The 24871-nt window shown below is 47.9% G+C and overlaps 1 protein-coding gene and 1 long non-coding RNA gene across 5 annotated transcripts, besides 2 other annotated features; one reads left to right on the forward strand and one right to left on the reverse strand.

Annotated features, from left to right (window-relative positions):
• Positions 852-1690: an enhancer, noted in NCBI's record as "H3K27ac-H3K4me1 hESC enhancer chr10:95325824-95326662 (GRCh37/hg19 assembly coordinates)". NCBI's record gives its function as "activates a minimal SCP1, AML or CMV promoter by ChIP-STARR-seq in naive H9 embryonic stem cells {active_cell/tissue: H9 hESC(naive)}" and the evidence as "EXISTENCE:reporter gene assay evidence [ECO:0000049][PMID:30033119]".
• On the forward strand, positions 1450-24857 carry FFAR4 (free fatty acid receptor 4). Of its 3 annotated transcripts, NM_181745.4 has the most exons (4): positions 1450-2072; positions 10876-11004; positions 13944-13991; positions 22005-24857. In NM_181745.4, exons 1-4 carry the CDS (start codon positions 1506-1508, stop codon positions 22392-22394), a joined length of 1134 nt encoding a protein of 377 aa, NP_859529.2. In that variant the 5' UTR covers positions 1450-1505; the 3' UTR covers positions 22395-24857. The 3 variants fall into 3 exon arrangements, with proteins under 3 accessions (NP_859529.2, NP_001182684.1, XP_011538048.1); NM_001195755.2 differs by lacking the exon at positions 13944-13991; XM_011539746.4 differs by lacking the exon at positions 22005-24857 and having other exon boundaries at positions 13803-15520.
• Positions 14862-15678, reverse strand: LOC124902485 (uncharacterized). Of its 2 annotated transcripts, none has more exons than XR_007062250.1 (3): positions 15513-15678; positions 15131-15240; positions 14862-14937 (listed from the first exon to the last, which is right to left on the reverse strand). It is a non-coding gene; the product is annotated as an uncharacterized LOC124902485 (long non-coding RNA). The 2 variants fall into 2 exon arrangements; XR_007062249.1 differs by having other exon boundaries at positions 14870-15019.
• Positions 16300-16505: a silencer, noted in NCBI's record as "fragment chr10:95341272-95341477 (GRCh37/hg19 assembly coordinates)". NCBI's record gives its function as "represses an EF-1alpha promoter that drives an FKBP-Casp9 reporter gene in an ReSE screen in K562 erythroleukemia cells {active_cell/tissue: K562}" and the evidence as "EXISTENCE:reporter gene assay evidence [ECO:0000049][PMID:32094911]".

Raw genomic sequence — 24871 nt, forward strand, 5'->3', positions numbered from 1 at the left:
TGGCCCAGGATGGAGCGCAGTGGCCTGATCTCGGCTCACCGCAACCTCCACCTCCCGGTTTCAAGCAATTCTCCTGCCTCAGCCTTCCAAGTAGCTGGGATTACAGGTACCTGCCACCATGCCCAGCTAATTTTTGTATTTTTAGTAGAGACGGGGTTTCACCACGTTGGCCATGGCTGGTCTGGAGCTCCCGACCTCAAGTGATCCACCCGCCTTGGCCTCCCAAAGTGCTGAGATTACAAGCATGAGCCACTGTGCCCAGTCAGTGCTTAGATTTCTTAAGACCCAACCTTAAGAAAGACAATTAGAAGACAGAGTGGGCAACTGGGAGAGGCCTGGTAATATGGCAGAGGGAAGAGGGGGTGAAGGTGTGGGTGGCAGGAGGGTGGCTGGTTGGGGAAGTGGCCACTGGATCTTAGGCCACAGGCATACTTTTCCATCTCCAGCTTCCTCATTTACAGAAAACGAGACTGCAGTGGTGTGATGGAAATGTGTGGGACGGGGACAGGTGACTGGCTTTCATTACTAACCAGAGGACAGCTTAGACAAGTCACTCTGGCTGGGCCTCAGTTTCCTTATCTCTAACGGGACTGGATTGCCCAGTGCTCCTCAAACTGTGGCACCTGGGGCACATTCATAGCTTGTGTGTGAATCTGCCAGCCTTGAAATATCTGTCTTCCTTGGATGGCAAGTTTATTAAAAATTTTGGAAGGACTCACTCTTTTTATAAGAAAGCATTTATGTCATTGTTCAGAATGCAAAATGTATATGCATTTTAGTTACAATAACTAATATTTGATAACATTTAACGAGTAATTACTGTGTGCCAAGTGTGCAAAACTCTAGGTGAGCCTCACAATAACCTAATGGGGTATTATTATTCCCATTTTATAGATTAAAAATCTGGGGTAGAGGGAGTAGATAATCCACCTAAAGACCTGTTATTAAGTAGTGATAAAAGATCTCCACTCCCTCTCTCCCCCACAAAAAATATGGACTCATTACAAGTTGTTTTAGGATCTACCTCCAGACCCATGGAGTTTCTTTAGTAAAGCCTGAACGACACAGGCCAAAATAATCTCCAAAGGCCAGCTCTGACCCTTTTAAATCAATTTTAGCTAAATCCGTTCACAAAAGGCTTCGCACATCCAGTGTCCCTGAAAAATAAAGGAGGTTGGGCAGGCCCTGCGGGGGCTCGAGGAATTCGCTAAGTGAGTTTTCTGGCTTCTGGATACACTTTCAAAGGGCCAGAGGGCACGAGGCTTCCGCCTTGGCCGCCACCTCCCCGGCCAGCTGCGGTGTTCGCGGCCAGTGTTGCCGGGCACTTCCTGGTTCCCGCGCGCCCCGGGTGCAGCTCCCTGCACCCAGTGCTGGCGCTCCTCAGAAGGGAGGGGGCCAGAGGCGAGATGTCGCAACCGCCTCCCTCCCTCTTTCCCCGCCTTGGCACTCAGTCGCCTCCCAGATGAGCACTCTCTCAGACCGCTGCGGGCCGCCAGGCGCCGGGAATGTCCCCTGAATGCGCGCGGGCAGCGGGCGACGCGCCCTTGCGCAGCCTGGAGCAAGCCAACCGCACCCGCTTTCCCTTCTTCTCCGACGTCAAGGGCGACCACCGGCTGGTGCTGGCCGCGGTGGAGACAACCGTGCTGGTGCTCATCTTTGCAGTGTCGCTGCTGGGCAACGTGTGCGCCCTGGTGCTGGTGGCGCGCCGACGACGCCGCGGCGCGACTGCCTGCCTGGTACTCAACCTCTTCTGCGCGGACCTGCTCTTCATCAGCGCTATCCCTCTGGTGCTGGCCGTGCGCTGGACTGAGGCCTGGCTGCTGGGCCCCGTTGCCTGCCACCTGCTCTTCTACGTGATGACCCTGAGCGGCAGCGTCACCATCCTCACGCTGGCCGCGGTCAGCCTGGAGCGCATGGTGTGCATCGTGCACCTGCAGCGCGGCGTGCGGGGTCCTGGGCGGCGGGCGCGGGCAGTGCTGCTGGCGCTCATCTGGGGCTATTCGGCGGTCGCCGCTCTGCCTCTCTGCGTCTTCTTCCGAGTCGTCCCGCAACGGCTCCCCGGCGCCGACCAGGTGAGCGCCCCTCTGTGTGTGCCGGGCAGGTGTCCTGCGCAGGCTGGGAAGCGGGGCCCCGACGGAAGCTGGGATGAGGATGATCAAGAACAACAATAGCCATTTATTGCACTTAATCGTTGTGCCAAATCTTGTGCCCATGGCTGTGAAGTTTAATCTCTTAAATCTCACTACAACGCTGTGCACACGCCCTCCTAAATGATGTAAGTGGAGTCCCCCAAATTCTTGCAAAATGCAATGACTGTTGCGAGGTTAATTAACGAGTAGTTTAGGAGCGAGACGGAACTTTGGGGGTGCAGGGTGGCCAAACACTTTGTATTGAATCATGATTCCTCGCCAGGTGCTACAATACTGTTATTATCACACCCATTTCACAGATGAGAACCAGAGGCACACCGAAGTGTATAATAACTTGCCCAGAGTATTTTATCCGTAATTCGAGGAGGAGATGGGCTCCTTCCAGAAGTTTACCCGTAATTCAAGGAGGAGTTGGGCTCCTGTCCAGGGTTGGGTTATGGTCCTGCTTTGAAAGCGCGCGGACAGGCATGTGAGACCCGGGGACCCCAGATGCAATGCTGTCTTTAGGGGACTTGTGACAGAATTCCCTTCCGGGGTCTTCAGTTTTTTCAGCTGCAAAACGGAAGGATTACACTAGACCTTCGAGGTGTCCTGGGCGCCTGAAATGTGCAGATTACAGAGGCTGGACCGACGAGCTCTGTTTTACATAGCGGGTCAATAGTTGTCATTATTAGCTCATAGGGGTGGGAGTGACCATGATCGGAATAAGGTTCTGCGGATAGTGCAGGACATTGGCTCTGTTCCCCTCAAGTCCCGCGGTCCGGAATCCCGAGCTCGGGTCTTTTTCTCTTGCCGCTTTGCCCGGTGGTTGCAGGGTTCGTGCGCCGGGATCCACACGGAAGAGGGAATCTAGACGCGGAGTCACGGTGGAGGACAGTGGCCGCCGTCTGGCTGTCTTCCCAGTGTGTTTGGTTCTCCATGCCTCGCGGAGAGAGATAGAGAAAGGACTTAGGTCTGTGCGCTGGGGGCTCAGCCTCCAGGAGCTTCTGCCCGTGGCTGGGTTCTTGGCCTCCCCTTCCCTGCCGGGGTCACTGGTTTTCCGGCCTGGAACCCCCTACCCTTAAGCTCCCTCTCCACCTAGGAGTGAATATGGGGCGCCCTGAGTAATCGTGGCACAAACAGGAATCACGGTCCCAAAGAGGGACCTTCGAAGTGGTCAGAGAGGGGAGTAGGGAGGGAGAAATGACATGTCACCAGGGGAAGGCTTGGTTATGGAGATGCACACAGCCCACCAGGGACACCCCCTGACTGTGTGACCCTCCAGAGCCTGAGACAGAGAGGTGGAGCTTCTCTGGGGGTTTTCCCAGACCAGTCTCTCACACAGCCCTTTTATTGGGGGTAGGATGGATGGAGTCTGCCTCCTGTATCCTGTGCGAGATTTTTTTTTTTAAACATAAATCAAACTTAAACACTTGTTTCTAATGCTTGTGTGGAATACATTGTGGGGTGTTTGTTTGTTTATGAGCTTGAATGACTAATAGGCAGGAGCCCCATCAAGCCTGTGGCACTTGATCAAATAACATGCAAGCTTGTGGCCATGTCCACTCAAGTGGGGCCCAGAGAAGCCAGGATTAGCTGAGCTGGTGGGTGCCATTTATGGGCAGACCAAGGGCTCTGGCTTAGTGGACAGGCTTGTTCTTAGCCCACACACACCTGAGAATCAAGGTGGGCCACGCAGATGCCTCTAAAAGCAAGGATCAGGAGGGGGCTGGGCTTCTGCCATCAGTTTCTTTGATTTTTTTAAAAGTTATTCTCTCAGTGAGTCACAGTACTTCTATATTTCTCACAGAACTTGAGGTATTTCACCTCATTTTCTTTCTTACAGGAGAAAATGATGTTCAGGGAATGAAAGACCAGATAGAATGTATCTTGAAGGTATCTTAAGTTTTCAGATGTGTATTTTGTGCCTCTCCCTTTTTTCAGTGATTTCAAGTATAACCCTAATTAATTGGCAAATGACATTAAAAAATAAGACTCTTGTCACTTCCCAGCCAGAGCCCAGACTAAAATTGTGTGCTGACAGGGACACAGGTGACTGTTTGGGTGAGAAGGCCTTGGCATAGGCAGGGGCCTTCCATGTCTTGGCCACTTAGTACCGCACCACTGTTAGGGAATCTGGGTGTGGTTAGAGCCCTCTGTGGTGCTTCCAGAGTGGCCACAGTTGTGCTGTAAGGTGCTTCCGTGGAGGTCTGTGTTGTGATGGCTGGGCACACAGACCTCCTTTGTTTTAATGTTGAAACACTTCCTTGGTTTTAAGCAGCTTCGGAGAGGGATTTGGGCAAAGCCACTGGGAGAGAATGAGGCTGCAGTGTGCACTGGGGGCCAGGTGAGTTAGTTACCCACAGGAGCCCTACTCACTGAAATTAGTAGAGGTGAGGTGGGAAAGCTTGAAATTAAAAAAAAAAAAAAATCCCTGGGCATGCTGGCTCACACCTGTAATTCCAGCACTTTGGGAGGCTGAGGTGGGCGGATCACTTGAGGTCAGGAATTGGAGACAAGCCTGGCCAACGTGGTGAAACCCCATCTCTACTAAAAATACAAAAATTAGCTGGGTGTGGTGGCATGCACCTGTAGTCCCAGCTACAAGGGAGGCTGAGGCAGGAGAATTGCTTGAACCCAGGAGGTGGAGGTTGCAGTGAGCTGAGATGATACCACTGCACTCCAGCCTGGCCAGCAAAGCAAGACTCAATCTCAAAAAAAAAAAATTTTTTTTAAATTAAAAAAAATGGGACAATCCTTTCTGGCTCTCCATCTTCTTTGTCTTCTTTCCTACCTGTCTGCCACATCCACCTCATCTCTCTCTCTCTCTGTCTCTGTCTCTCTCACACACACACACACACACACACTTTCACACCTACCTGCCCAGGAACCCAACAAACAGAAAAAACCCAATTTCCTAAGGGTTGTTGCCTGAATACATAGAAAACATCCAATATTATAGGTTCAGCAGTTGAAGAAATAAGTTGAAAAGAATGAGAGACAGAAAAAAACAAAGGGGGAGTGTAGTCATTAAAAAAAAAAAAGCAACAGGAGGATCTGGTCTAGACTGACTGAGTCTCACATTTAAAATTAGCAAAGGCTTGTTTTCTCAATCCCCATATTCCCAGCTTTCTGCTTGTGGATTCTGTCTGCCCCATCCCACTTAGAGACTAAATATGGAGGTTTGGGATGGGGGATATTTTCCTAACCCAAACCACACGCTGAGAGAATCAACCAAGCCTAAGCAGATACTGGCTCCCTCCCCTCAAGGAGCGCTGGCCAAGGAAACTGCCCCTTAGAGCTTCTGCCGACCCAAGAGCCTTCCTGAAACAGAAACTCAATCTCTTGTCCATGTGGGCTGTGGGTGCCCAGTAGTTCATGGTAATCAGACTCTAAAACTTCACTGAAGAGAAGATGAGGTGATAAATATCCTAGAAATGTGAGACAACTTGGTATTTGGAGTGGGCTTTGGAGTCAAACATTCTGTTTAAATCCCATCTCTGCCATTCGGGAGCTTCATGACAGAATCCAAGCTGTCTAACCTCTCAATACCTCACTTTCCTCTTCTGCAAAATGGGCATGATTACAGTATCAACCAACCTTACCGGATCATCATGGGCACTCATGTTCAGTAAATGGGCCAACACCTGGCACATACACAGTTAAGCACATAAGAATTGCTAGCTATTATTAGTTTCCTTATCTTTGAACATAGACATTTTAAACATTCTTCAAACAGTATAATTCTTCTGATTGCTGTAAAATAACAGACTGCCATTTTAAGAGGGCGAACACATCCTAGCAACGTTGACATCTCAGCCAGGTCAGCTCACCCTGCTTCAACAGGATTCCAGCCTGTGTGTGCTGTGGACCTGGCTGGGCAGTGACCCACATCGGCAGGTGGAGAAGACTGTCTATCCTGGCCAGAATGTGCTGCCCATTCATTCTGCAAACATTTACTAAGCACCCTTCCCCTCTTGCCCCTGCCACAAATCACGTAAATCCACCTCCTTCTCTTCAAGGAGAAGCACACAGATGGTCCTAGATTCTGGCCTAATTTGGTCCTCACAGTCACCCCACCCCATATTCTTTTGTTTATTCTAAAAGAGGAAATCCCTAAGGTCACAGAATTGCAAGAGATGGAACCAGAATTTAGCCCCACTCTTTTGGGTCCCTCTGGATACCGTCACCCTTGGGTTTATACTCCCTTGCGGCACTTGATCCCACTGCCCCACCCTACCCTAATTTAATACCAGGCTAGTCATGTGAACGTTCATGTGTCTCTGCTGAGTGTGGATTGTCTGAGGAAACAAACACAGTTTGCTTGCTTTTGTTATGATTAGAGAATACTTTTGAAATATAAGAAAGGAAGCATCTCTTGCATTAATATTTTCTCTCTTTTTTGCTGGGAAGCTGATAGAAGATGAAATATCCAACTAGGACTCCTAGGTTCTTAAAATAATCTTGAAGTCTTCCATGTTGATGGCAGAGGTGAGACACAGGAACAAGGATCTACCAAGGGTCTCCAGAGGTACTGCAGGAAGAATCATCAGAGAGACTGATAGGCAAACAGCTGGAACAAACAGCTAGAACTTATTTGCAAACAGGCAGTGTTTGCAAATAAGTCAGGCAGTGTGGGGAGGGTCAGCATTTCCACAGTGCCTGTGGACAGATGTCCCCATCCTCAAGGGGAGTCTCCTTAGAAAAGTCATTTGGCAATTTTGTCCTGAGCACCTAATGTGTATTAGGCAGAATTCTAGGTGCTGGGATGCTGGCTGGAAAAAGGCAGGCTTGGTCCCCACCCTTAGTAACACACTTCAGTGGGGACTCCAGACAGGGAAGGGGATGATTGCACAAGCTTTGGAGAGCTGTGGAAAGGTCTCTGCTGGGTGTGGGGAGTCCAGGAAGCTACTGGGAGATGGCAGTGTCCCCACTGAGTGTGAAGATGAGAGGAAGTAAACCAGGCAAGGGGATGGAGACGAGGAGGACATTGTAGGCAGAGGAGAGTCCACATGGAGGCCAAAGGAGCAGTGAGTGCTGTTCTGAAACTTGCAAGGGGTTCTCCACCACACATGTGTAGAGCCTGAGGTTCAGTGGGGGCAAAAGACGGTGCTGGAAGCGTTGGCAGAGGAGAGGGAGAAGGACCAGAGTCATCCTGGTAGGAAGTTTAGACTTAATGGTGATGGCCTGGTCTTGGTAAGGGTTGGGGGTAGGCCAGTGAAAATGCAATAGGTGGATAAGTCAATGGCTATGAAGGAGGAATTTAGAGATCCCTTCTGAGTGGGGAGGAGGAGGTGGGCAGAAGGCCAGTGCTCAGGTTTCTGGCAGCTTGGAGAATGGTGGCCCTGTGCCCTGATTCAGGGAGTGCAGGAATCAGGTGGAACCATTTGAGGATGGGACCTTCAAAGCTTAATGCGCCTATGAGGCCTCCTGCTGAGATGTCCTCATGGCTATTGGGCAAGTCTGGGGTTCAGGAAAGCATGCAGCTGAAAAGAGTAGATTGGAGCTTTACCTGCAAAAGGAGCCGTGGAAATGAGTGAGATGGCCAGGGAGAAGTGGAGACTGGGATGAGGCAGAACACATTTGGGGGATCCAAGTCACACTTATCCCTTCACTGTGAGTGGCCTCCCAATTTCATCCCACAATTCTGCTCTGACAGCTGAGCTCCAGCCTCCCTATGCCCCTGGCCGCGGTCCTTCCAGGCATAGCAGAAACAACCCCCCCTGGGTGGCTCTACCCTCTCTGGTCCTCTGAAGCTCTCTGGGCACTTCCAGCTGCTTGTCCTGTCCTGAAGTGTCCTAGCGCTTCTCTGCCTCCCTCCCTCCTGGAGGAAAGGGCCAGCGCCTTGCTCTTCCTCACTGTGGCTTCGCTGTGGTCAGCCACCACGTCTGGAGTCGGGTGGTTGAGCAAATGAATTAAAGAAGACTATTGTTGACTCTGCCAATTCTGCTTCTGTAACTCAGTAACAAGGCAGGCCTGCCACTTTTGTTTTCCAAGTTCCCTTTTTAAAATCAGGGGACATTTCACATGTGCAGAAAAAGTACAGAGAATATAATAGGACTCACATCCCCACCTTCCAGACTTGACATGCTGCCTAACTCCTCTACATGTCACAGCCTGCGGGAGAATACCTAGAATCAAAACGACTTAAGCCAAATGGATTTTCCCACAGAAACCAAGTTATGACACCAACTTGGATCTCTGTGGGCATGGCACCTGTTATTTTATTTTTTAATGAGACCAGACAGTGCATTTAGTCAACAATACCATACAAAACCTTCTAAAGAGCATGTCAATCCATCATTCAGGCCCCCAAGCCAGTTGCACTGCCTCTCAGTTCATGTGTGGGGGTGCCAGGCAGAGTTCTTATCTTACTTCCTTATCACACTTCCTGCCCTGAGCAAGAGCCACAAATCAAAAGGAGAACGAGCGTCTTTATTAAAGTCACGGAATTTGGGAGCTGCCTGGGACAGGTTCATTGTTTCTGTTGAAAAATAGCTGGTAAAGTTGGCAGAACTATCATGGTGGTCTGTGTTTCATGTTTGATCATCATTTCACTTATAAATGAACTTTTTTCTTTTATAAAAGTAATATAGGCACATCATGGAAAATTAGGAAATTCAGATAAGCCACAAGAATAAAAACAATTTGAGAGTCCTGCCTAGAAATAGACACTTCACTTTCTGGATTGTATCCTTCCATGTTTTTTTCTGTGCATGCGAGCACGTGAGTGTATGTGAGAGAGAAAGTGTGTGTGTGCGTGTGTGTGTTGGATGGCCATATACTCATTCACACATATACATTCTCTTCAACACACTGGGATCATAGAAGCACATGGTTTAGGGACCTGCTTTTTTCTTTCACTCCTACTGTAGAGAGAACACCTTGCTCTATCATTATACCCTCCACAAAAGTCTTGCTAACCCTGGAGAGATTTTGGCAGACATTCTGGAAAAGGCTTTTGGAAAGAGTTGGGGGTCTTAAGAAAAGCTTCTGTGTGTCCTCTGTTTTTCTACTCTCCCTTAAAATTTTTCCATCACAAGAATAGGAATGAGAGACCAAGTCACATTCAGGGCTGGAATCCATTTCTTCCGATTGATGCTTCAGCATACCTGCTCATATGTATTGCTACTGCTGTCTTGGAATGAGGGGTCCATAGTGGGCAGAGGCCTGAGTACAAAAGGAGGTGGTGCGGGTTTTCTGGAGAGCAGTAGTAGCCTCACTGCCAGTAATCAGAAGATCCTTGAAAGAAACAGGTTTCTGGCCGGGCATGGTGGCTCACGCCTGTAATCCCATCACTTTGTGAGGCCAAGGCGGGCGGATCACAAGGTCAGGAGATCGAGACCATTCTGGCTAACATGGTGAAACCCCGTCTCTACTAAAAATACAAAAAAAAAAAATTAGCTGGTCATGGTGGCGTGCTCCTGTGGTCCCAGCTACTCGGGAGGCTGAGGCGAGGCAGGAGAATCGCTTGAACCTGGGAGGCGGAGGTTGCAGTGAGCCGAGATCGCGCCACCGCACTCCAGACTGGCAACAAAGTGAGACTCTGTCTCAAAGAAAAAAAACAAAACAAAACAGGTTTCTTTCCAGTCACCAAAATGTGGAAGGATTTAATGAACTTCCCCCTACCATGTGTTCACACCAGCCCAGTCTTGATTCACTGCTAAAAATTCTCTGCTTTTGCCTAGTAGAGCGTTCAATGAATATTGGTCAAGTGAATGAATGAATGAATGGTACTTCAGATGATCATGCTACTCCTAGACATTGGTTAAGATGCCTTGGCCCTTCAAAATCAATAACGTGGTCTTTTTACACAGCACGTGCTCTTAAAAATAATCTATTCTATATGTGTGTGTTAGGGCCACTTGTTTTCTAGACAGTTTTGTTTCTGTAGTCAAGTGGGCATAGGAAGTTTATATGTGGGAAGTTAGTATATACAGACACACAGATATATGTCTGTTTTCATTGGCCTATTTATTCATTGGATGAAATTGTTGCAGAAGCTATTTGTAACTATTCAGTAAGGTCTCCATATGTTGCAGTTCTTGCAGTTAGTGTTAAACATTTGGATCAATACAACATAGTGATAGCAGCAAGATCACAAACCTTCACATTCTTCTGCCATATTCCATTGGTTTTACATCTTGAACTGTCTGTGAGTGGAGGCTGATCTTTGCCTTGGGGCTCTAGATGGCCAGGTTGATGCAGCTCGACACACTTTAGACACCTGAGCACCCCCAGCATGAATACTTAATGCTTTAGCAAAGACCCTGTGTCCTTCAGCTTACACAGTTGTGACTACAGGGAAACCTCGTTCCTGTTTTGATATGTTTGTTATGTAGCATGTCCTTTCCGATCTCTGTAACCTTTCAGGGGTCAGTTTTCTCCTTTGTAAAATGGCAGGCTTGGAAGAGAAGGCTCGAAAGCCCTTTGCATGTCAGCCCAGGGAAGTGGAAAGACCACACCTAGGAACCGACTCTAGCTCTTACCACCCTGTAAGCCTGAGGCTCAGTTGCTGTCCCTGGAGAACAGAAAACATAATCATGGCTATTCTGAGGGTCAGGGGCAAGTGCTTTGCAAGTGGGATTGTGGTGGGCAGTGGGAGGGATTCTGGGGTTCACTGTCATGCTAGTTGTGTAACTGGGCAATGCAACCGTGTAAGTGTCAGGAAACCCTCAATAAGACTGAGCCAGAGGCCAATAAGAAGCCAGCATTTACATGATGTTCTTTTCCTTTTTGTAACTAGGAAATTTCGATTTGCACACTGATTTGGCCCACCATTCCTGGAGAGATCTCGTGGGATGTCTCTTTTGTTACTTTGAACTTCTTGGTGCCAGGACTGGTCATTGTGATCAGTTACTCCAAAATTTTACAGGTATGTTTTCTGCAAGTGCTGCCACTGAACTTCACCCAGGCTTGGGGTTATTTCTGCTAGAATCTTAGAATTTGGGGTCGGAGAACACCTAAGAGTTCACGCCAGCTCAATCTTGATTCACTGCCCAGGTCTACAACACTGAGGAAGGAGAGGATTTTTTTAGAAGTTATATCTTTGTGATTATGTTTTTGCTCATCACTAAAGTAATACTAGGTCATTACAAAAAATTAAATTAAAATGAAAGCAGACACATAAATGTAAATAACACAGAAACTGAAAACTTACTCTACCTTCTTAACAATTCAAGATGTATTTTTTCAGGTTATTTTTCTTATAAGCTTATGTATATGTCATGTATACTGTGTGTGTATTTGATGAACCATATGAAATTGCAGGTTAAAATGGTCAAATGGTTATCTGACACTGTTCAATGTTCTTTTCAGATATGAGATAATACTCTCTGCTCTGTAACTCCTTTTTTCACTTAACATTATATCTTAACATCTTTCCACATCATTCCTATATCTCTAACTCATTATTTTTAGTGGCTACAGATATGACTTCATTTATTTTATGGTCTTTTAGGCTGTGTCCATTGTTTCCCCATCGCAAACACTGCAGTACTGGAGAATGTATACTTTTTAAAACATTTTATTGAAGTATTATATACATATATAAAAAGCACACTGAGCATAGGTGTAGGCTCAAACTGAGTGCATTCATGAAAGCAGCTCCCAGGTCAAGAAATGGAATATTACCAGAAGTCCCTCCTATTATCTTCCAGTTGCTACTCCACCCACCCCCAGGGAATGCCCATTTCAAATGTGCACTGAAACAGGAAATGATCTCTACCTTTAAAACAAATATGTACAGGGACATAAAAAGGACGAGTCAGCCTGTTTTATATCTCGTAAGGTAGCCCATTTGTGAGTAAGTTGCCTGCCCAGGCAAACAGCATGGGTGCATCCATGTTTATGCCCATTTTAGAAGGTTTAATGCAAAGCCCTTGAATCCTCGTGGAGGTTTATAGTTGTTGAATCTTGGTTTTATAGCATCTCATGTGTGGGTCATCTGGCAAGTAGGCACTTGAAGTGGTGCCCTGTAGGGCCTGCTCACTCTCTGGTCACTTTTATGGCCCTTTCTTTGCAGCTAAGGGTCTGTAACCTTCTTAGACGCTCAGAACCCATAGCCAGGCCAACCTCCATCCAGGTCTGCTAATCCCTGGGTCCTGTGGGAGATGGCCCCTCCATGTCACTCATTAGACTCTTGCCCACCCAATGACCACTAAAGTGACACCCAGCCTGAGGCTTGTTCAAGTGCAGGAGGCAGATTCAGGCCTGGAGTTAAGGTCTGGACAGTGCTTGCGATGGGACCAGGCATATGATAGTGCTATGTAAGTGTTAGCTATTATCATTAAGTTAAAAGGAAAGAGGTGAGAGAAAAAGGAAGATAAATGTAGAACTTATTTAACAAATATTTACATAGTGTTGACCATATGCCAGGAACTGACTCTTTAATTCTGATAAGAATTACAGATGAAGAAACCCAGGCACAGGGAGGTTAAGTAACTTACCCAAGGTAACACAGCTTGTAAGTGGCAATCAGGATTTAAATTCAGGCAGTCTGACCCTAGAGTCCCAATGCATTAATTCCTCAGACATGTGTTAAGGGCCTGCTCTGTGCGAAGTGCTTGGGGGAAGGGAGGTGGGCTAAAAACCGAGCAAGACACATTCTCTATCCAGAAGAAGCTTTGACATAAAAGGGGAAGAGGGAGGAGACAGACAAGGGTGCTGATATCGAAAGGAGAGAAACTGAACACAAGGTGGAATGATACTGAGACTTTGCAAACACTTTGCAAACTGTTAAATGCTACACAAACGTAAGGGACGAATAAGGGGTATAAGAAAGAAGAGCAGGCCAGGTGTGGTAGCTCACGCCTGTAATCCTAGCACTTTGGGAGGGTGAGACCAGTGGATCACCTGAGGTCAGGAATTCAAGGCCAGCCTCGCCAACATGGTGAAAGCCCGTCTCTACTAATAATACAAAAATCAGCCGGGCGTAGTGGTGGGCGTCTGTAATCCCAGCTACTGTGGAGGCTGAGGCAGGAGAATCACTTGAACCCAGGAAGAGGAGGTTGCAGTAAGCCGAGATCGTGCCACTGCACTCCAGCCTGGGCAACAAAGTGAGATTCCCTCTCAAAAAAAAAAAAAAAAAAAAAAAAACGAGAAAAACAAAAGGCCATGAAGACAGACACAGAGACTTGACAGTGTTATTTTAATAATCTGGGTTTGAGTCTTGAATCTGCCACTTACTTGCTGTGTGGCCTTGGCCAGCTTAGTTACCATCTCTGGGCCTCAGTTTCCTCATCTGCAAAATAGCAAACATAATGCCAGCAGTACAGAGTTGTTGTGAGGCATGTAGGAGATGCTACTGATGGGACAGAGAGAGCCATGCCTGCCTGTAGCAGGTGATGAATAAATTATGACGGTCGTGATTTGTTAGGCAAGGCTGCTCTTCCGACCCCTGTCTCAGAGCATGCTGGGAAAAGGTGCTGCTAAGATTTGCAAGAGGATAAACAACAGCCCAGATTTGGAGCACATCAAGAACAAGGAATTGATGCTAGAGCAGGGCTGGCTGGAAGGGGCGGCAGCATTTGACCTCCTTCCTGGAGGTCTCACTCCTGAGTTCCTTAGGCGCCAAGAGGGCTCTGGTCTGCCCCTTTTCACTCGTACCTCACGCTTCTCAGCTGCCTGCTGAGGAAGGAATGATTTTCCACCCACCCCCATCTTTTTCTCAAGGCCAGGGTCCACCTGGAAAAATTCTGAGACCTGAGGAGTTGGGGCAGCTGTCCTTTTAGCCACCCACCTCTAAACAGCAGTTTACTCTCGAAGCACCTTGTGTCTAAACCCACAGCCGGCCTTCACTTCTCCCCATTACAGACCTCGGAACACCTCCTGGATGCAAGAGCTGTCGTGACTCACAGTGAGGTAAAAGGGCACTCTGAGTAACAGAGTAACAGAGCAAATATGTAATTTACATTCCATCACCACCCTCACCTTAAGGCCCTGTGTGGTCTGGCCCCGCTGCCGTTCTCACCTTCATATTTCACCCTCCCTTGTGTCCACATTGGCCTTGAGGCTGTACTGCGCACTGGCCACCATACTGCTGCCCCAGGGCCTTTGCACCTGCCACTTGTTCTCCTTGATCTCTCTTCTCCAGATTTCTGCATGGGTCACTTCCCCACTTCATTTAGTTTTTACTCAAAAAGCTCTTCACCAAAAAGTCTTCCCATCAATCTCCAATTCCTTATCCTGATTTATTTCTCTTCAAACACTTACTACACCTGTCATATTCAATTTATGACAGTCATCTGTCTTGCCCACTACAATGCAAGCTCCATGAGAGCAGAGGTTTTGGTTTGTTCACTGCTATATTCCTATGCCTAGATCAGAGCCTGGCTCATTCATTGTAGGTGCTCAATAAATATTTGTTGAATGAATGAGGCATGAGCCTTGGATCACATTGAAAGGGGTCTACAGGGTCGTCTCTTCTTGGACAGTGGGAAAATCACTGGACAAAGAGTCCTAAGACAGAAGTTCTAATCCAGGCTTTATCACTGTGTGACCTTGGGCAAGTCACTTAAGTAATGTGAACCTCAGTTTCGCAGGAGCCAAATATGCCTCAGTGGATTAACACAATAAAATGAAAGAGCAGATATGATAATGTTTTAAAAATCACAATTTTAATCCAAATATCACTTAAAAATTACTTTCCACGTTATTAGCAAAATCCACTGTTGCCCATTTCCCAGGAGGACTATGACATTTGTCCTCACTTGGTACCATGAGTTTGCCAGGCTGATAATTTGGAAGCAGACAAGCTATACCAGGTGGATGGAGTGTGCAAGCAGGGCCTCAGTTTGCATCTCCTCCCCTGTGAAGATATACGTAACTCAGAGATACTGAGTCAGCTTTTCTGTCCAAGCTTTTTCTGTGAAGCTTGGTTTTACATAACTCTGTAAAATCAATTGAACATCAATGTTAATTAGGCATAATAACAGACAATTCACAAATTGTTTGACACCATGGGATACAAACACTACAGCACCACCAGTCCCACTTCTCACCTGTCACTAGTTCCTGTAACCCAGGTCTCATCTCCAGGCTTGAGAAGTGTCTCTTTTTCACATCACCCTGGTCTTCTATTGCTCTAAAGCAGTGTGTCTCCTAGAATGCTCTGTAGAGTGCCATGGCAATGTTAGGTGTTAGAAAGGGTTTGGGAAATGCTGGGATAGGCTAGATTGGATTCTTTGCTGCAGGACTTCTCAGGACCTTTATTATGCCAATATACTTTGAGGATCTCCCACACAGTAATAGAATAGGTATCATTGCTAAACGTGACTACAGAACCCCCTTTTCTCCACAGAGCATCTCTCTGCACTGGTGCTCCAAGAAATGCCTTTTTGGAAACCCTGCTCTAAAGTCTCCACCCTCCTTCCTGGTTCTGACCTGGGCAAGAATTCAGAGCAGGCTTCGCCCTGGCTCTTTCCCTACTGCCCACCCTTCAGGGGCTGCTTCATGTGCTTGGAGCAGTGGCCTTATTCATCCTTCTGCCCTCCCTGCTTCCTCTTTCCTTGTGACTCAAACATGCCATACATCTTCAATATTTTTTCCAATCAACAGTTTTCCCAAGGGAATAACCTCCCAGCGACTTCTAAGTGCCTTCGGATCAGGCTGTCACCACTGTTTGGGGCTTGCTTGACGTCATCGCCCAGCAACTGTTGCCATGACAACTGAGATGCCTCTACCCTTTTGTAACAGTGGATGTTTATTGATCCCCCTCTCATTGCCCACATATGCACCAGAATGGAAGAGCAGCGTGGGTGGAGCTGCCTTGCTTATTGCTGTGTGTCCAGCACCTATGAGTGCTTAGCACATAGCAGGGGCATATAAATATTTGTCGAATAAGTGAGTCTATGGCTTGCAGATGGAAAACCCTCAGCCTGCCTCAGGGCTAAACTGAGAAACAAAATCTGTTTCCGCTGAACATGAGGGTGTTAGACAGTGAACACAAAGCCCTTTCTCCACGCCTGACCTGCATTCCCCAGCTTTGGGGGCCTGCATGCTGGTCGTGGAAGGGTAGGTGGAATCTCTGGAAAGATGGAATTTTCTGTCCAGTGATTCTAGAAGGGAGGCTGTTGATTGACCAAGCAGCTCCCAGAGGAGACTCAACCTTCAGGGTTGAGTCCCAACTTTGTCAGTGGGAACATCCTCTACCCATCCCCACATGTTGGCAGCAGCGGTCTGCTGGCATGGGGTGGCAGAAGGGTGTGAGGTAGGGTGGAGACTACCCCACGGTCTTCAGAAGCTCATGTGGGTGTGGAGGCAGTGAGTCTCAAAAAGGTCTGTCCTCAAAGGACTGAGGGGAACTCCAGACTGAGTCTGTTGTCCTAGATGAGCAGCTGCGACACTTCAGTGGGCAAGAATCACCCGGGGAGTTTAGGAAACTTGCAGATTTCTGGGCCTCACCCAGCCCCACACAATCCGAATGTCTGAAGGGGCCCCCCAGCATTTGCATGTCATCATGTACTCGGTGGCCGTGGACCACATTCCCCAGATGCTGTCCACCTCTGCTGAGGTGCTGTGCCTCACCGGAGAAGACACTGGCACCTGGCATGGGGTACACTCCCCTACTTGACTGTGAGGCTCAAGCAAATCACTTCTCTTCTCAGGGCCTCTTAGTTCCAAAACTGCGGCAACCACAGAACCTATCCCAGAGGCTTGTTCTGTGGATTAGGATTAATCCTCAAAAGTTAATTGAGCATTTAGTTTAATCTAAAAGCACATCAAGCATTCTGCCCAGTGCAGAAGACATTTGAAATCCTGGATCAATGTTAATTATCTTTGACATCTAGCATGGGGAGAGGAGGAGGAGAGGAGCCACATTTGATTATAAAGCCCCCTTTTCTTCCTCGCACCCTACCAGTGGTGGGAACTGTGGAGAGAAGGAGATAGTAGCATCTCTCAGTGCTAAAAAAGATCCAGGCCAGGTGCGGTGGCTCACACCTGTAATTCCAGTACTTTGGGAGGCCAAGGCAGGCAGATCACCTGAGGTCGGGAGGTCAAGACCAGCCTGACCAACATGGAGAAACCCCGTCTCTACTAAAAATTCACAATTAGCCAGGTGTAGTGGTGCATGCCTGTAATCCCAGCTACTCAGGAGGCTGAGACAGGAGAATTGCTTAAACCTGGGAGGTGGAGGTTGCGGTGAGCCGAGATCACACTATTGCACTCCAGCCTGGGCAACAAGAGCGAAACTCCATCTCAAAAAAAAAAAAAAAAAAAAAATCCATCCACTTAAGCACTTGGTCCATGAGTGAGCCCACTTTGTCTGTCACCCGCAGCCATTGTCAGGTACCTGCTAGGGCTCTGGGTCACAGAAGACACAGGCATGCCTTGCTTCAGCTCCCATCCCCCAAGGAACCTGTAGTCTGGTGGGGGTCTGTGTTAGTCTGTTCTCACACTGCTTTAAAGAACTGCCTGAGACTGGGCAATTTATACAGAAAAGAGCTTTAGTTGACTCGGTTCCACATGGCTGGGGAGGCCTCAGGAAACTTGCAATCATGGCAGAAGGAGAAGCAAGGACCTTCTTTGCATGGTGGCAGGAGAGAGAAGAGAGTGAGCAGGAGGAGGGAAAACTGTCTTATAAAACCATCAGATCTCATGAGAACTCATTCACTATCACAAGAACAGCGTGGGGGAAACTGCCCCCATGATCCAAACACCTCCCACCTGGATCCTCCCTCCACACGTGGGGATTACGGGAATTACAATTCGAGATGAGATTTGGTTAGGGATACAGATCCAAACCATATCCGGGTCAGAGGTAAGAGGGACGCCTGGGCCGGGCGCGGTGGCTCAAGTCTGTAATCCTAGCACTTTGGGAGGCCAAGGCGGGTGGATCACGAGGTCAGGAGTTCGAGACCATCCTGGCTAACACGGTGAAACCCCGTCTCTACTAAAAATACAAAAAAAAAAAAAAAAAAAATTAGCCGGGCGTGATGGCGGGCGCCTGTAGTCCCAGCTACTCAGGAGTCTGAGGCAGGAGAATGGGGTGAACCCAGGAGGTGGAGCTTGCAGTGAGCCGAGATGGCGCCACTGCACTTCAGCCTGGGTGACAGAGCGAGACTCCGCTTCAAAAAAAAAAAAAAAAGTAGGACGCCTGGACATCTACCACATAGTGTATGTGGCAACTGTCGCATGAGTGCCTGAAACAAAATGCTGCAAGATGCCAAGCGGGAGATGAACCAGGAATCCTTCTCAGAGTTCCTGGCATTAGAGTTTGGAGTTAAAGCCTGGGCAGAAGGATTCCCATGGGCAGAGATAGTAGAGAGTGGGAAAGAACTAGTTTATGATAAAGACAATGGGCTGGCGTCAGGCTGCCAAGTTGGCAGTCCACCTCGGCAGCTTCTTAGCTGAGTACTGGTGGGCAAGTTTTGTAAGCTCTTTGAGCCTCAGCTTCCTCATCTGTAAAATGGGGATCATCACAGTACATATGTCACAGAATTGTTGGGAGAATTTAAAAAGGTAAACTAAGTGATAGGTAAGGGCCTGGCACATAGTAGGTGCTCCATAAATGTGAGCCTTCATCAACATCACTCATCAAAAAGTATTTTTGCGACACTACACCAGGGACCCTGGGTACATTGTCGCCCTTCTTAGGATGGTGTGGGCAGCAAGAGGGATGAAGCTGCTGTCAGAATCAGCCCTTGTGGGTCCCCCAGCCTGTGCTTAGGCCTAGAGCGATATCCTTACTCAGAGGCGGTACCAATTCCTCTGCAGCCCACCCACCTGACACCCTGCCCAACTGATATTCTCTTAGATCTAACAGCCAAGGCAGCTTCCTTAGATTAACCAGGTTTCACCGGAACACAAGTTCTAGTTTTGATTCTACATAATGACTTCCAGACTTGGATGTGCCAATATGGCCTCTGGCGTTTGAGCCCGAGGTGGTGCCCTGTGTATCCTGAGCAACCTTCACCCTGCAGAGCCATTGAGGGGAGGGGAGAGCTGAATAGTGTGGCCATCCCTTTTGAGACTTTTGTAATTTGTCTCATCTTTAATCCCACTGAGCTAGATTTTCAGAGATGGGGGCTCTGACCCTGTATTATCAGTGGAGTGACCTTCAACAAGTTTCTTAAATTTCTTGAAATTCAATTTCCTCATCTGGGAAGTGGGAACAATGATAGTACAAATCTAGAGTAGGTATGAAGATTAAATGTGACGACTGAGAAGTAAATGTGCGGCACAGTGCCGGCCACACGGAAGCCCTCAGTAAAGCTAGAGATCTGTATGACTATGAGGCTGTTCACTCAGCATCTGTTGCCCTGGTCTCCACCATCAACAGGTGGACCTAAACTCCTGCACAGAGCAAGCAGCCACATTGAATCATAAAACAAACAACTATCCTTTAATTAGCTAGTTACAAGTTTTTGTTTTTTTTTTTGAGACAGGGCCTCACTGTGTCACCCAGGCTAGAGTGCAGTGGCGCAATCTCGGCTCATTGCAACCTCCACCTCCTGGGATCAAGCGATTCTCATGCCTCAGCCTCCTGAGTAGTTGGGATTACAGGTGCCCACCACCATACCCTGCTCATTTTTTTGTATTTTTAGTAGAGACAGGGTTTCACCATGTTGCCAGGGTTGTCTCGAACCCCTGACCTCAGGCGATCTGCCCGCCTCAGCCTCCCAAAGCGCTGAGATTCCAGGCATGAGCCACTGCGCCCAGCCTAGTTACAAGTATTCTAACGGGAATATTTTCAGCCATTCTGATCTTGCAGTTAAATTTACCTGAACTGTGAATGATGTTAATTACCTTCCATTACTCCCCCTCTTGAGATTCAGGAGTCTTGGGGGACACCTGTAGGATCTCCTGAAAGAAGAGTCCAGAATCCCCTTCTAAGCCCACATAACCAGGGCTGCCTTCATTGCCTGCCATGCCTCTGCTTCACTGCCAGCCCTGCTCATTAATACAAAATATTAGAGGTCCCAGCAGCTCCACTGGTAGGAATTTATTCTACTGACATGCTCACCTAGGTGTGCAAGGATACGCATGAGGAGGCTTATTCCCCCAGTTGCCACCTCTCAACAGGGGACATAAATGTAAAATGGTCATTTTCCACAAATATCACCAGCAGTGCTCTGACAAGCTCCTCTTTCTTGCTGGGGCAGGGGCACCTTTAATGACACCTATGTCTGATTTACAGAGCTTTCCAGTCATTTTTTGATTATTTTACAATGTCAATCTCATAGTCAGTTCAAAGCTTCCCCTGCCCAAGGCGTAGGATGTGGGTTTGTGGTGCTGGAGCTGGGAGGAGGACAGAGAAGGAGGATGGGCTGCCCTGGCAGTGGTCTGGTCTCCCACAAGGACAAGGAACTTGCATGATTGCCCATATGAGGTGGTTGCCCCCTTCTGTTGGTCATTGCCTCTGATTTCCCTGTGTCTGGTGATGGTGCCAACAGGCCCTGTTGATGAGGGGATCATTCCCAAGCAGCACCCACTCCAACCCATGGGCAGGCCCTTCCCACACCCACTCCCACCAGGTATGGGCAGACCCTTCCCACACTCAGCTTCATTTTCAGGTTGGCTCCTGACAGAAGCTGCCCCAGCAAATGAGCAGCCTCTGATCACATCATCTTTCCTTAACCCCTGACTCAGGGGCCTGTAGGCAAGACTAGGATCCATTTTCTCCCGCTCCTGCAAAAGGAAAGGAACCTAGGGTGGGGTCCAGTGCTCCCTTCTGCCTGGCCTGCCACACTGGTATGCCATCTCCCACTCAACAACCTGTAGGGGAGTGATATGGTTTGGCTGTGTCCCCACCCAAATCTCATCTTGAATTGTAGTTCCCATAATCCCCATAATCTTGAATTGTAGTTCCCATAATGTCACGGGAGGAACCCGGTGGGAGGTAATTGAATCATGGGGATGGTTTCCCACAGGCTACTCTCGTAATAGTAAGTTCTCATGAAATCTGATGGTTTTATAAGGGTCTCCCCCTTCGCTTGGTTCTCATTCTTCTCCTTCCTGCCACCGTGTGGAGAAAGGAAACATTTTCTTCCCCTTCTGCCATGATTGTAAGTTTCCTGAGGCCTCCCCAGCCCCGCAGAACTATGAGTCAATTAAACCTCTTTTCTTTATAAATTATCCAGTCTTGGGTATGTCCTTATAGCAGCATGAGAACGGAATAATATAGGGAGAGAGGGGAAGAGTATGCACACTGCTATTTCAGCTGCTACCTCCCCAAACAAGGCCAAAGAAATAAAATACTCCTCAATAGGGGCTAGATAAATTGCAACCACCATTTACAGAAGATAACAAGAATGAAGTGCCTTCTCTGTGCAGATATGGCCCGAGCACCATGATATACTGCTAGGTGAAAAAGGAGCAAGGCCCGGAGTGTGGTGCGTGGTGTGGGCCCATCTGTGTACCAGGTAAAAGAGCAGATGCCTGCAATCCCACGCCAGGAATATTGTGTGTGGCAGTGGTGCATTTCCAGAAAGCCATATGGGAAAATACTCACGTTAGTCACCTCCCAGGGTGGAAATAGAGGGTAGAGAAGGCCAGATGTTCTTCATTTGTTCCCCATCAGTATAGCATTGTTTGAGTTTGAACCCTAAGCACATTGTGCTTGCAAACAATTAAAGAGACATCTCTTTTAAAAAAATAACAGGGAAGATGTCCCTCTTGTAGACCACCCAATTCAGGCTTTTCACTTCCCCTCATAACGCTGTTTAGAAGGTAGGTGATTTTCTGCTTTATTTCTCAGGAGTGCAGCCGGGGTCCCATTTCTCCAGCACATCCTAAGCTCGGGCACACAAAGTCCCAGAGGCACACAGCTTCAGTGCCTTGGGGATAGCAGATTCCAACTCTTGGGCCCCTAACTCAAAATCCCCAACAACCCTCGGTCACCTGTGGCTCCAGTCCTGTTTTGGTTTTCCACAGATCACAAAGGCATCAAGGAAGAGGCTCACGGTAAGCCTGGCCTACTCGGAGAGCCACCAGATCCGCGTGTCCCAGCAGGACTTCCGGCTCTTCCGCACCCTCTTCCTCCTCATGGTCTCCTTCTTCATCATGTGGAGCCCCATCATCATCACCATCCTCCTCATCCTGATCCAGAACTTCAAGCAAGACCTGGTCATCTGGCCGTCCCTCTTCTTCTGGGTGGTGGCCTTCACATTTGCTAATTCAGCCCTAAACCCCATCCTCTACAACATGACACTGTGCAGGAATGAGTGGAAGAAAATTTTTTGCTGCTTCTGGTTCCCAGAAAAGGGAGCCATTTTAACAGACACATCTGTCAAAAGAAATGACTTGTCGATTATTTCTGGCTAATTTTTCTTTATAGCCGAGTTTCTCACACCTGGCGAGCTGTGGCATGCTTTTAAACAGAGTTCATTTCCAGTACCCTCCATCAGTGCACCCTGCTTTAAGAAAATGAACCTATGCAAATAGACATCCACAGCGTCGGTAAATTAAGGGGTGATCACCAAGTTTCATAATATTTTCCCTTTATAAAAGGATTTGTTGGCCAGGTGCAGTGGTTCATGCCTGTAATCCCAGCAGTTTGGGAGGCTGAGGTGGGTGGATCACCTGAGGTCAGGAGTTCGAGACCAACCTGACCAACATGGTGAGACCCCCGTCTCTACTAAAAATAAAAAAAAAAATTAGCTGGGAGTGGTGGTGGGCACCTGTAATCCTAGCTACTTGGGAGGCTGAACCAGGAGAATCTCTTGAACCTGGGAGGCAGAGGTTGCAGTGAGCCGAGATCGTGCCATTGCACTCCAACCAGGGCAACAAGAGTGAAACTCCATCTTAAAAAAAAAAAAAAAAAGATTTGTTATGGGTTCCTTTTAAATGTGAACTTTTTTAGTGTGTTTGTAATATGATCAAATTTAATAAATATTTATTTATGACTGTTCAGCAATCACATCTCCTACATATAAAGCCACACCATAGTGGTTTCTGAAGTGAGTCTTAGAACCGATTCAGGACGCAGATTTCTCCTCTGAAGGGTCACAGCCACCCTGTGCCCTACCTTGGACTCGCAAGGGTTTAGGATCATTCGTTGATGTCAAGAGCAATTGAAGAATTTCTAAGGAACAGTTAAAGATGACTTACTTTTTTTTTTTTTTCATTTATAAAAATGCTATGGACCCTTTTAAGAGAATCGGCATCATGAAATGAGAGAGAAAGTAGGATGGCTCTGAAATGTTTGAGAGTGAGTTCAGGAGTGGTTTACTCCTGACGCATCCAGCAGAGATGCCTCTTAAGCACCAGCCATGGCAGACAGTGTCCTTTGTGCTAGGAATACAGTGGTGAACCAGACAGCCATGGCCCTCTCTCAGGGAACTTACCTTCGAGTCAGGGGCAGAAAAACTAAATAAAAGTCAATAAACTATATCTATATACAGATACCTATATATTTGAGATGAGGGTCTTGCTCCAATGCCCAGGCTGGAGTGCAACGGCACAATCACGGCTCCCTGAAGCCTCAAATGCCTTGGCTCAAGCAATCCTCCCGCCTCAGCCTCCCAAGTAGCTGGGATTACAGGCGTGAGCCGCCACGCCTGGCTACAAGTCAATAAATAGTATAGCATCACAGAGCGAATAAGCACTGTGAAGAAAATGGGACGGGGGCTATGGTAGTGATGGGAATTTAGATCAGATGGGGAGGGGCCTAAGGAGACCTTTCTGAGGAGTGACAAATTGGATCAAAAGGTAAGCGACAAGAAAGGGCCACCTGTGTGAATGGGGGAAGGGACACAGAAGAGATGTTAGTGCAAGGAGGCTGACACGCTTGAAGGGAGAGTGGCGTAAGCCGACTATTGATGGAGCCTCCTCTGCACTAGGCACTGCCTTTAATGCTGAGATGAGGGGTACCCGGCTGGGGCCTGTCAGTTGAGGCCAGAGAAATTGCAGGGTTAGATCACATAGGGCCTAGGAGTTTATTCTGTTCTCCAAGCCCCTGGAGGTTGGCAACTGGAGGCTGACGTGACCTGATGAATGTGTGCAAAGATTACCCTGGCTGCTGGGCAGGGAATAGACTCTGAGGAGCATGAGTGAAAATGGAGACCAGTTGGGCAGCTGCTGAAGTGTGACATGGGGATGGGACCTTGGAGGTGAGTGGCATTAGGGAGGGATTGTGAGAAATGACTTGTAAATATACCTTGGGAAGGTAAAACAAAGATGATTTATTGATGGGAAGGATGGAATTGATAGAATGTGAGGGAAAGGGAGAACTCAAGGGGAATACTCTGATTTTTTAGCCTGTCATTGGTTGGATGGTGAAGCAGGCAACAAAAATGGGGGGGCCTGGGCAAAGATTAGGGGGGGGGGAGCCAAGAGTTTCATTTGGAGCTCATCAGTTTGAAATCTCAGTGAGACTTCCAAATTGAATAGGCAGTTGGATGCAGAGATGTGGAGCTTGGGCCTGGAGATGCACATTGTTTGGAGATATAAATGGTGTTTATAGACCTATGGTTTTATAATACATCCCTTGGAGAGATAGAGAGAAACCAGAGCCAAAGACCGAACCCAGGGTCACTCCACCACTTGGAGGCTGGGCCAGTGGCTGGAATGCACAGCAGCACGGGGCCTGGTGTATAGTAGGTGTTCAACAAATCTTTGTTGCTGAGGAAATCAGCACCAGCAGTAGTGACTGCTTATGCAGTTTCTGGAGCAGCTTGCTTCTGAAGTCAGATTCATGGATATCACAAGCTCGAAGACAAACGAACAGAGATGTTTTGCTCACTTTAGTTAATAGATTTGATCAATTAAACCTGTTTTTGGAAGTGATGTGTGGCTATCTT

The sequence above is a fragment of the Homo sapiens genome, chromosome 10, assembly GCF_000001405.40.
Source record: "Homo sapiens chromosome 10, GRCh38.p14 Primary Assembly".
In the NCBI taxonomy this organism is placed as follows: domain Eukaryota; kingdom Metazoa; phylum Chordata; class Mammalia; order Primates; family Hominidae; genus Homo; species Homo sapiens.

What these genes read in the sequence shown, in the direction of transcription:
- FFAR4 (NM_181745.4), top strand. Translation starts at nt 1,506, where the DNA reads ATGTCCCCTGAATGCGCGCGGGCAGCGGGCGACGCGCCCTTGCGCAGC. An exon ending in GTTACTCCAAAATTTTACAG is followed by an intron (nt 11,005 to 13,943) that starts GTATGTTTTCTG and finishes TCCCCATTACAG; the next exon opens with ACCTCGGAACACCTCCTGGA. An exon ending in CTGTCGTGACTCACAGTGAG is followed by an intron (nt 13,992 to 22,004) that starts GTAAAAGGGCAC and finishes GGTTTTCCACAG; the next exon opens with ATCACAAAGGCATCAAGGAA.